The following is a 12002-nucleotide window of genomic DNA, read 5'->3' as shown; positions in this document are numbered from 1 at the left end:
ACTGCTCTCTTCAGAGCTGTCAGGCAGGGACATTTAAGTCTGGAGAAGCTGTCTGCTCCCTTTTGTTCAGATGTGCTCTGCCCCAGAGGTAGAATCTAGAGAGGGAGTAGGCCTGCTGAGCTGTGGTGGGCTCCGCCCAGTTCACACTTCCCTGCGGCTTTGTTTACACTGTAAGCATAGAACTGCCTATTCAAGTCTCAGTAATGGCTGACACCTCTCCCCCTACCAAGCTCCCACATCCCAGGTTGATCTCAGACTGCTGCGCTAGCAGTGAGCAAGGCTCTGTGGGCATGGGACCCGCCGAGCCAGGCACGGGAGGGGATCTCCTGGTCTGTCAGTTGTGAAGACCATGGGAAAAGCATGGTATTTTGGGCAGGTGTGCACCATTCCTCCAGGTACAGTCACTCATGGCTTCCCTTGGCTAGAAAAGGGAAATCCCCTGACCCCTGGCGCTTCCTGGGTGAGGCAACATCCTGCCCTTCTTTGGCTTGCTCTCCGAGGGCTGCACCCACTGTCCAACCAGTCCCAATGAGATGAACCAGGTACCTCAGTTTGAAATACAGAAATCACCTGTCTTCTGCATCGATCTCACTGGGAACTGTAGACGGGAGCTGTTCCTATTCGGCCATCTTGGAGGCAACCTCCTATTTTTTTAACTATTAAAATAAACTTTAAGTCATTATGTATATATATAAAACATATATTACAATAGAATATACTCATTTTAAGTATATGGTGAGTTTTGACATATGTATACACACACATAACCTCCTCCTTCAATTAAAATATGAAGCATTTCCATCATCCCAGAAAGTTCCCCCTTTCCCCTTTGCAAAGTCTTTATGACTCCCGGCATTCTAGGTTGGTAGCGTTTTTAAGAATTTTAAAGATTTCATTTCTTTGTCTTTTGGCTTACATTGCTTCTAAAGAGAAATCAGCTGTCATTCTTATCATCGTACCCTTATGTAATCTTTTTTTCCCCTCTATCTGCTTTTAAGATTTACTCTCTGTCACTATCACTGGTTTTCAGCACTTTGATTATGATGTGCTTCACTTTGGATTTTGTTTGTTTGTTTATTCTGATGGGTGTGTGTGTGTGTGTGTGTGTGTGTGTGTGTGTGTGTGTATGTGCATGTGTCCTTTCTCAATCTGTGGGGTTTATACTTTTCATCAAATTTGGAAATTTTTTGGACGTTATTTATTCAAATATTTTTTGGCCTCCTCTTTCCCATTCTGGAATTCCATTTATACATGAGATAGAATGCTGAATGTTGTCCCAGAGGACACTGGGATTGTTAATTTTTTCTTAACCTTTTTGTTTCTGTGCTTCACTTTGGAAAGTTTCTGTTACAGTGTCTTCAGGTTCACTAATTTTCTCTTTGGCAATGTCTATTTTGTTGTTAAGCTCATTGAGAGAATTTTTCTTTTCAGATTATATATGTCTTAGCTCTTAAAGTTCTATTTGGTTTTTTTTGTTTTCTATTTCTCTCTTCCATATTGTCATGTTTTTCTTTAAATCTTTGAGCATATTTACAGTAGTTGTTTTGAGGTTCCTATCTGTTAATTCCATCATCTAACATTTCTGGAAATGTTTCTGTTGAATGATTTTTAATTTTTTCCCCATTTAGGGTTTACATTTTCTTGCATATTGACAGGATCTTGGATGTTGTGTTATGTCGAGTGCCTGGATGTTGTTGTCTTCCTTTAAAGAATATTTGTTTTTACAGGTAGTTACTTGTGAGTCAGTTTAGTTGTATCCAGGCACTTTTAAAACTTTGTTAGGACAGGTCTAGAGTAACCTTTGTTTGAGAGCCAGTTTAGTCCTACCATTAATGCATGCCTATTATAGGCTCACTAATGAATGCCCCTTGTGGTAAATGAGGTTTTCCTGGGTGGTTGGAACTCATTTTATAGGTCTCTGGCCATTATTCTTTGCCTTGACTTATAAAGTCTCATCCCATGAATGCACAGGTTAGTGTTTAATCCGTGTCTCAAAGGAACCCCTATGTATATTGCTGTAGTTATTTCTTATTTCTAGTACCATGCCCTACAAATTCCAGCTGCCTCATCCTCCATTTTTTTTTAACCTCAGTGAGATCCCTGTCCTCTTACTGGGTTCCTTTCTCTCTGCTGTGGTTTGGAATGTGTATTGAGCAGAAAACCAGGGCAATCACATCTCTTCTCATTTGTTTACTTCTCTCTGGGATCACAGTCCTGTACTGCCTGTTGTTTAATGTCTGAAACGAGTGATTTCATATATTTTGTCCAGTTTTTTAGTTGTTTGCAATGGGAGGGCAAGTTGTTTATCTGTAAAATAATTCAGTCATTGGTGAAAGTGGAAATTTTGAGAAAGTTAACTCTAAAGGGACATTGCAAGGCAGACTTTGGCTATTTTCATATTATTTTTAATTATTGAGGCTTTGTTACATTTCAGTCTGTAGTTCTTTTAATCTTTTATATGGATTTTGTGATATGTGAGTAAACTCTCCAAAGCCTTGCAAATAGTGAATTTCTTTTTTCTTTAAAGATTCTTTCTTGTGGAGAAGTTATTCATGTGAAGATCCTTGGAATTTTGGCTCTTATTGATGAAGGTGAAACAGATTGGAAATTAATTGCTATCAATGCGAATGATCCTGAAGCCTCAAAGTTTCATGGTAAGACTGTTACTTTCCAGAAAGTGAAAGCAAATTAGTGTGTCATTGGAATTCTGAGAACTTAAAAGAAGTTCACATAGGGGAGTTAAATGTACTTTTTAAAAAAGAGAGAGGAAAAGATGTAGATAGACAAATTATATTTTAAATGAAGAAAGTACATTCTACTGGTTTCCCTCTATTCCCTTTTTCTTCCCTCTCCTGTCACCTCTCTTTCACTTTCTTCCTCTTCCTTTCACTCCTTCCTTCCCTCCTTTCTTCTTTCCTTACTTCCATGATTTTGATGGTCCAACTGCTGTTGGGAACTGTTTTGAAAGCATCCTTTGACTAGGAATAAAAGCATACGATACTGGCATTTTTACCCTGAAATCTCTTTTGTTCATATGACTAACAAGAAGAAACTAAGGAAGGAGTGTTCATCGATGACAAAAGCTATTTCTGCACCTAGTTTTTGTCTCTTCTTGTACAAATGAAGGGAAAAGTAACTGCCCTCTAACGAAATTTTGATGTCCTAGAAATTTTAAGTTCTGGAAATAGCTTGGCATGATTTAATTTTGTTTGGAGTCAGACAGACTTCAGTTTAAGTTCTGGCTGTGCTACTTCCTGGCTGAGTGACTTTGGGTAGATCATTCCTGAATTTCAGTTGCTCATCTCTAAAGGGAGATGATTATACCTACTTGTAAAGTTGTTGGCAATATAAGAAACGATTTATTTAAAGCATCTGGCTTTCACATACCAGTGTTGAATATATGACAACTATTATTATTCTTTGACCAATTTTTCCTCTATTTTTCTTTCCTGTTTTATTCTTGCTCAGGATCCTCTTTACTTGTAAACCTCGATTCTAAACTGGAAGATATTACCATTTCTAAGATGACTGAACCTCATTAACAATGTATTAATCTTAGTTTATGTACCTTTTTTTGCACTTGAAACAGGAAGAGATTTCTTTTTTGTCATTCTTGTATATAACTGAGAAAGGGAGAGGTCTGATAGCGTGAAGTGCATGTAACCTCAGGATCAAAAGTAAAATGTGAAAACTACAATTAAAATATGAGCTCAAGTCTATAAACCATATATATTCCTTATCTCATTATTTTACCCTGATTTTTTCTATTTTTATACTTTTCATATACATATATATGAGAACAGTAAATAAATTTTATTTAGTTAAAAACATTTTTTAGCATCTTAACTGCTCCTCAAATGAGAATTGATAAGGTAATAGTCCCACAGGCAGCCGAAACAAATCATCCACCTAATTCATTTGTGATCTGCTACACTAAAGTCATGAAACTGTGCTAAGGGATGCCCCTTTAAACTGAAAAAGCTGAGCACCTGAATGAAAATGAAAATATTATTTAGAGAGTAGTAGTTCAGTACTGTTGGAGATGTGATTTAACATTTTAAACTCTCTAGCATATAACAAGCGCTGGTGCCTGTTATAGTAGATATTGTTCTTAACTTAGAAGATGGTCAGAGAATGTAAGTGACTTGCCCACCTTTGCAAACATGTAAATAGTACACAGTTTGAACTCATTTCTGTCTGATTCTAATGTGTGAATTGCTCAGTACTGTATTGAGCAATATATAGCCCATCTATAATATTATACCAAGCAATTCATCCTTGATTCTAGTAATTTATATATTTGTAACTAGAGGTATTGAAACTAGATCACATAAGCCTAGCATGACTCCTTGAGTTTCGTAAGTGTTAGAATAAAAAGTTTTAACTCTATTCATTTTATTTCTGTTGCGTACTCAGAATGGAGATGACTTTGCACTTTGGACACCTTTCTAAATTCCTTTCATATTTGCTTTTATGAAGAGATATGCAGAAACACTAAAGCCAGTTGCTGATTTGGGTTGAGAAGAAATTATTGAACTTGAGTAGTTAAAACAAGATGTTATTGTTTTAGAACACCAATACATTTATCATTGTATTAAAAGTGAATACATGTATTATTTTCATCATGAAAAATACAACAATTCTTATTCATAATATGTTTTTGAACTCCTAAAAGAATGAGTAAAGTGTATGGGGAAAATGAAAATTGTTTATTTTAAGGATATTTGTATATTGTTCTCATTAGTTAGTACTTAAAGTACTCTTCTCCTATATCTAGATTTTATAAAATAAGTTTGGTAGTTTTTTTTTGAGGCAGTCTCTCTCTGCCTTCCATGATGGAGTGCAGTGGCACAATCTCAGCTCACTGCAACCACCGCCTCCTAGGTTTGAGTGATTCTTGTGCCTCAGCCTCCTGACTAGTTGGGAGTACAGGCGCGCGCCACCACACCTGGCTAATTTTTTGTATTTTAGAAGAGATGGGGTTTCACCGTGTTAACCAGGCTGGTCTTGGACTCCTGGCCTAAAGGGATCTACCCGCCTCAGCCTCCCAAAGTACTGGGATTACAGGTTTGAGCCACCATGCCCAGCAAGTTTGGTAGTTTTAAGAATCACACATTTTTTTCTCATTCCTTTTACCTACACATTATCGTTAATATATTCTGCATACCTTTGTTGAATTTTCTTCTTTACTTTACAGAGACCGAGGAAAAAAATTGATGTAGGCACAAATTGAAAGGAAGAAGAGATTGTAGTATAAATGTTTTTTATTTTTGAAAAATTATTTTTAGTCAACAGTGTTTAATCCTAAATCAAGCAACTTTTAAAATGTTTTGGTATTTATGTCTTTCATATTTACCATCTAAAATCACAAACACAGGATTTTAGATGGCATTTTAAAAATTATAAAATTAATTTTATACATGGAAATAAAAACTCAGAAGTATAAAAAAAGTACATAAAATGAAAGTAAAGTTTTTCTTCCTACCTCCCACCTCATCTTCTCAGATCTTATCACAGATGTTTTTTGTTCTTTTGAATGGTTGCTTCCTTCTGTAAATGATGTGCTTATATTTCTTAATTTATGCATTTTCCCTGTTGACTCAAATTATTACTTTGGAAGACAAGGAACTTAAATTCTTAAACATTTATCAACTGTGTTACCATATTTCTACTATTACCCTAATAACTCTAAGTTGTATATTTGGAGCTGGATTTATTGCTTCATTGACTTTGAACAATAACTCTTAACTGCCCAGTGTAGAACTTAGAGCATTTGGTTTCTACATTTTTATCCTTTTCTGTCCCTTACAACCTAACTTCTCTCAGCTACACTATCAATTCTACAGTATCAAAATTTATAATGTTTAAATTATGTTAAGTATAATTGTTTTTCCTATTTTGCTTCATGGTTGAATCTGAAAATTAAAAACTAAGTAGCATTTACAGTATTGTTATGTAAATATTCATTTAGTTTATCATACTATTTATTAAGTGATCATCTTTGAACAGACTGTTCTCTGAACCTCCTGCATAGCTATCACCTGCGGGTTTCTTTTCAATGCTTGGTTAGTTCTACTTACTTAAATTCTACCATTCCCTCTTTAGTTTTCCCTTTTCATTGTTGGCTGGTGTCCATTTTCCAAAAATATCTAATGCAGTAACTTTAAATATAAATTGCTGTGTATAAATTGAAATTTCTATTACAAAGGAATAAGTGATTTTATATTTTATGACCGTTTAAACATTTGTCATCTATACTTCTTGGCATATTTGTCAGTCAGATAAACGAGAGAAATTTAAAAACACTTAGGAGAGGGCAGCTATCAGGAATTTTCTTTTTAATTGTGTAGTTTTCTGGGTATGTGTGTAATATAGGAGTATATAGAGATTTTTTAAATTTCCTATACGTTTTTATTGTTATTAGGCATTTAAAAAGTAAATCCTTGGCCGGCATGGTTGCTCGCACCAGTAACCCAACACTTTGGGAAGCTGAGACAGGAAGGTCACTTGAGTGCAGGAGGTGAGACCAGCCTGAGCAACGTAGTGTGACTTCGTTTCTATAAATAAATAAATAATAAAAATTATATCCATCCTATTAGTTTCTACTATCTTTAGAAAAAGAGGCCAAGGCAGGCAGATCACCTGAGGTCAGAAGTTCAAGACCAGCCTGACCCACGTAGAGAAACCCCATCTCTTCTAAAAATACAAAATTAGCTGGGTGTGGTGGCACATGCCTGTAATCCCAGCTATATGGGAGGCTGAGGCAAGAGAATCACTTGAACCCAGGAGGCGGAGGTTGTGGTGAGCCAAGAACACGCCATTGCACTCCAGCCTAGGCAACAAGAGCGAGACTCCATCCCAAAAAACAAAAAACAAACAAACGAAAAAAAAAAAGAAAGAAAAAGAAGCTGTTATTTGGCATGGTTTGTCAGAGTTTTTCTTTTTTGAAAATGAAGCTCGTTTTAGTTCATAGTATGTCCTTATGTATGTGTATTTTCTTTTTACTCTATTCATATAGACACGTTTAAGTTGTGATTCTTCAAAGACATTTTGGGGTTGTTTTAATTTGTGAACAAATACAATAACTTTTATTTTTTTTGATATAAATAAAATGAAATAACTTTTTTGATCCTAATTAACATATGTACAGACTTTGGTAGACTATATATCCCTGTTTTAATACTTACAGTTTTTACCTATGATGACTGAACTTAAACTAGCCATTGCATCAGATAACATTTTTCAATTAGTAAAAAAAGTTTTTCTTGTTATAGTTCTGTAATTTTAACATTACTGTTTTAAGTCTTCTAGTTTCACCTTCTAAAAATGGAGTAGCCACTGTAAAAGTCTAAAAAATGTCCAAATAACATTTGAAATGAAACTCGTTGTATTCCTTGATACAAAATTGGTCACTTCAGCAGGCTCATTAACAAAAAGCCAAACACCACATGTTCTCACTCATAGGTGGGAGTTGAACAGTGAGAATACATGGACACAGGATGGGGAACATCACACACCGGGGCCTGTTGTGGGGTGGGGGGAGCGGGGAGGAATAGCATTAGGAGATATACCTAACGTTAAATGACGAGTTAATGGGCGCAGCACACCAACATGGCACATGTATACATATGTAACCAACCTGCACATTGTGCATATGTACCCTAAAACTTAAAGTATACATAAAACAAAACAAAACAAAACAAAACAAAAAAACAGAGCACTAAGACCATTTTATGCCCTGTAATTAGGTTTCATGCCCTAATGCTCTTATTGGTACCCTAATGGCCTGAAAGAGTTAATAAGACTCCCAGGACACCTAAATTGTTACTAGAAAATACCTTGGCCAGTGTGAATAATAGCTTTGGTTATGAAATAACCAAGTTTAGAGCTTTTTAAGAAGATTGAAATGCTAGGGCATGTGTAATTTTTCTCGTGGTTAAATTAACCACCTTCTATAATGTACAGCTTCAGATACTCACCAAACAGATGTTTGTGCCTCTTCAGAACTGCCACTGATGCCTAAGGACCTTATGTCAGGAGAACTAATGTCACGAGGAGCTAATTTAGGCCTAGATGCTATTTCAACTTGCAGAGCAATGAAGATTTCTTTTGTTTGGCCTTTAAATAAATGAAAACTATTGTCTGTTGTGCTGCAATAACTGTTTACCTGTGCAGTGATTTTATAGTTTTAAAAAATGAAAGATTTAAAACAATCGAAATCAGAATAGTTATATTGATATAGATACATTGTGGATGAATAAATCATATGAGCAATTATTTAAAATGAGACCGTTCTGACATTTTCATAGGCCGGCATCACACTTGTCCTAAAATTATTAAGGTATGTCTTTTGTATATGTAGAATTTCAGCTTATATTTAGAGAAATTTAAAAATAAAAACTACTCTCTTTCAAGGCAAAAATAAATATGTTGAGACACAATCTATTTGGCTTAAATGTTCATTTGCTAAGTAAACACTTCCAGTGCTTCTGTAATTATTATTTAAAAATAAGCAAATTAATGTAGTGTTTGATTTCCTTTCTTCCTAAAACACAACTTAATACTGTCATTTAGGGGAATAAAAAGAATAGCATAGTGATCTTAAGGGAAAATATTCATGTTTTGTAACCAGAAAGAATAGAGTTCAATTTGTGTGTGTTAGAAGACAGCAGAATGTACTGGCTTGGAAAGGGGCTTGCATATCAGCATCATCAACCTAAGAGCTCTAACATTTGTCAAACAATTGCAATATGCCTAAGAAGAAACTATGCTAAGTGCTTCTTTTGGAATATGTTTAATCTTCACACAACTTCAATGAAGATAAGTTATTCTCTTTTTTTAAGGATAGAGAAACTGAGGCACCGCGTGGATGGGGCATGGGGCATGGTTAGTAACTAGCCTAAATCATATGGCCAGTCATTCCACTCCAGTCTGGCTCCAGAGTCCATGTTCTTCATTGCTGCATTACATCACTCTTCTGAAAAATGCCGGGTTAGTCAGCTGTATTTGTGGCCTTGGACCTTGTCGCTTTCTAAGATTGCTGACCATTTGCTCTTAAGTAATTTAGGCATCAGTGGGACAATGATAGAGATTCCAGTGAAAAGTTAGCTCTTTTGATCATATTCCTCTTATTTCATTAATGGGTGTAGGTATGTAGGGATGGGTTGTAGGAGGAGGCAGTTGAGGAACAAGGACAAATCGAGTTAAAAAATTATAATTGAGATGGAATTAAATTACCGAGAACCTGCTGTCTCTTTTTTGAACCTTGACCTCTTACAGTTTTTTTTTTTTGGTTTCAGTCATTCCCATGATATGGTGAAGTATGGGGGAGGCCTAAATTCTAAAATCCTCTTTTTGTTTATTAATTATCTGACCTCGGAAAAGTCATAACCTCTCAAAGCCTTTGTTTCTTTATTTCTTAAAATTGTAGAGTGGATCTTCTGATCACTAAAAGATCCCTAGGGTTTTTCCCATCTCTAAATTTTTGTTATAGGAAATATTTTTAATCTATTATTTTTAGCTTGTTGTCTTCTGTTAGTAAAAAGACCTAAATTATCTTCAAAGTTAGTGCTGTGGGAAACCCAGTTTAAATTAAAGGATTAGATGATTTCTTGGGGACATTGGCACGTTTTTAAGTGCTTTAGGGTAACTGTTAAGTGATGAAGCTGGAAGTTCAATGGAGGTCAGTCTGACCTGAGACCTGTGCATTTAGCCACTTTGTTATATGCTTCAAATCAAAATTAGATTAGAAATATTTGAATTCCTTCCATATACAAGGCAGCTGTATGGTTTTCATTTTACTGGTCATGTGAAATTACTTGTAAACTGGTAATGAATGTCTATATTTTGAGAAAAATCTAAGTCTTTTCTGAGAGGTTTTTCTGCTACAGTGCATATAGTCTCTATGTAGAATTACCTTGTTTGGTAATACTCACTTTGACATGTGTTAATTCCATTATTTTTTCATGATGTTAATACACATTTTTAGTACAGGTTTTGTCTTGGTAAGAGTACAATTTATGAAAAGGAGAATGGAGAAGGAAAGGGCAAGAACAATGAAAGATACTCTTCATTAGCCCATGAATGTTAAACGTAGATATGCAGAACAGTTTGGAAACATGAAAATCTTTTAGAGATTCTGAGTAAGCATAAATTATTAAGAAAATCAGTTCTCTTTGCAGGGACCTCTATTTGTGATACAGAAACTACAATGAATGTTATTAAATGAAACTTGTTTCTTGTGAATGTTTATAAGTCATTAAAAACACATGTTCTTGCTTCCCACAGAGTTTCTTTAGAGGGTACTAGTTGTGCACATGTTTAGTTCTGTGGGAGCAACATTTATAGTACTGGGATGAGAGTGTTGTGCAAATGAATCAACATCACTTCCTTTAGTAAAGTGGAAACTCCTTTTTCATTTTTCTTTTTTCCTCCCCTTTGGACAAAATTTTAGCATAAGGCTATATCCTGGTGTCTTTTTTCCCCTTTTATATAATAAGGGCAAAGAGATAGGGTATTACTTTTATGTCACTGGTTTTTATCTAAAAATAAAAAATTCTCAGCCGATTGTATGCTTTCTTCACTTTGTGTTATGGCTGGGTGGAGATAATCCAGGTAAAGCAGCATTTTAATGTTTTTTCGTCCTAACATTTGTGGAAGTATATGTAGCCCTCAATTTGTGAAAGCGGATGGAATGTTTAGAGATGTGAATTTATATAGTTTGATAAAGCTCCCTGGGTAATTCTGATAGATTTCCTTCAAATTGAGAACCATTCCATTAATTAATTCTTTTCTGCTGGTTGGACATTCTAGTCCTGGATGTAGAATAATTGGTAACAATTTTGATATTTATTCAGTTAGAAGAAGGTCTTAAGATGTAATTACCTAATTAACTTTGATATTTGCCTCACACACACCTGTCACTCCATTTTTAAAGCTAATATTTTGATTCCCTTTGAGATCTTGAGCAAATTACTTAACCTTTTAGAGTCCTAGTTTACTAATTTGCAATAAAGAGATAAATAATACCTCATTTACAAGTTGTGAAGTTTAAATGACATACTATTGTTGGCAGCAGTGGCCCGTCTGGAGCAGCTGCTGCAAAGACTGGCTGCAGCCGGGGAGGCACAGCCAAGGCTGCACACTCCACCGGGCTACAGGAGCCAGGAACAGGTGGGAGCCCCACCCCCTTCCGAGTTGGCAGGGTGGGATCACCACCTTCCTGGACACAGCTGCAGCCACACAGCCACAGCTGTGGACCTGGGCATCCCTGCACTCTCGGGGGCCTGAGAAGCCCCCACCCACCTCTGCAGGCTCGGAAGTGCCTGCTACTGCTGCCTGGCCTCTCCCCACTCTGATTTTGGAGTGAAGTCGAGGCCGATCCTGGGTGCTGTTGCAACGCAGCCAGGTGTGCCCTCACTCATAGTGGCACTGACACACCAGCCCCCTGCCACCTCGGCCCCCTCTGGACTTTTGGCGCTGACGAGCATGGGAGGGAGGCCAAAGAGGTGCTGAGGGTGGCTTGGTGCAGGCCTGTAGGTGCCGCTTGGCACAAACAGCCTGGGTACAGTGGATGATGTATAGATAGCGGGAGGCAGACAGGCTCCTGGGCGGAAAGAGGTGGGTCCACAGTGAAGCCCCACCTTAAAGCCAGGGATGGCCTGAAGCCTGGGGACCAGGCTGTCTGTTCTGGGTGAAATCTGTGGCCTGGAGTGAGAACCTAAGGTGCGTTTTCTGGGCCTAACCATGGCTGCCCATGGGCCAATCAGCACACACTTCCTCCCTCCTGAGCCCATAAAAACCTTGGATTTAACCAGACTCGGGAGGACGGGACAACCTGCCTGCGTTAGGAGCTACCCGCTCTGGATGTCCTCTCTGCTGAGGGCTGTAGTCTCAGTGGGCCTCAGGCTCAATGGGATGACCTACCTGTGGATAGGAGCTACCCACTTCTGATCTTCTGCGAGCTGTACTGTCAGTAAATCACCTTGCCTTGCTCACCCTCC

General features: G+C 37.1%; 1 protein-coding gene across 4 annotated transcripts in view; it reads left to right on the top strand.

Annotated features, from left to right (window-relative positions):
• The window catches only part of PPA2 (inorganic pyrophosphatase 2), a 104994-nt gene that overhangs the window by 47221 nt on the left and 45771 nt on the right, over positions 1 to 12002 (top strand). For 3 of the 4 annotated variants that reach the window (NM_176866.2, NM_006903.4, NM_176869.3), the window contains one exon: positions 2528 to 2654. The exons of the other annotated variant lie outside the window; for it this stretch is intronic. In NM_176866.2, coding sequence (NP_789842.2) covers positions 2528 to 2654 — 127 coding nt within the window. The remainder of the gene's footprint in view (positions 1 to 2527; positions 2655 to 12002) is intronic. 4 annotated transcript variants of the gene reach the window in all.

Source organism: Homo sapiens, chromosome 4 (genome assembly GCF_000001405.40).
Source record: "Homo sapiens chromosome 4, GRCh38.p14 Primary Assembly".
Lineage (NCBI taxonomy): Eukaryota > Metazoa > Chordata > Mammalia > Primates > Hominidae > Homo > Homo sapiens.
This window is presented reverse-complemented; position numbering and strand designations above follow the sequence as displayed.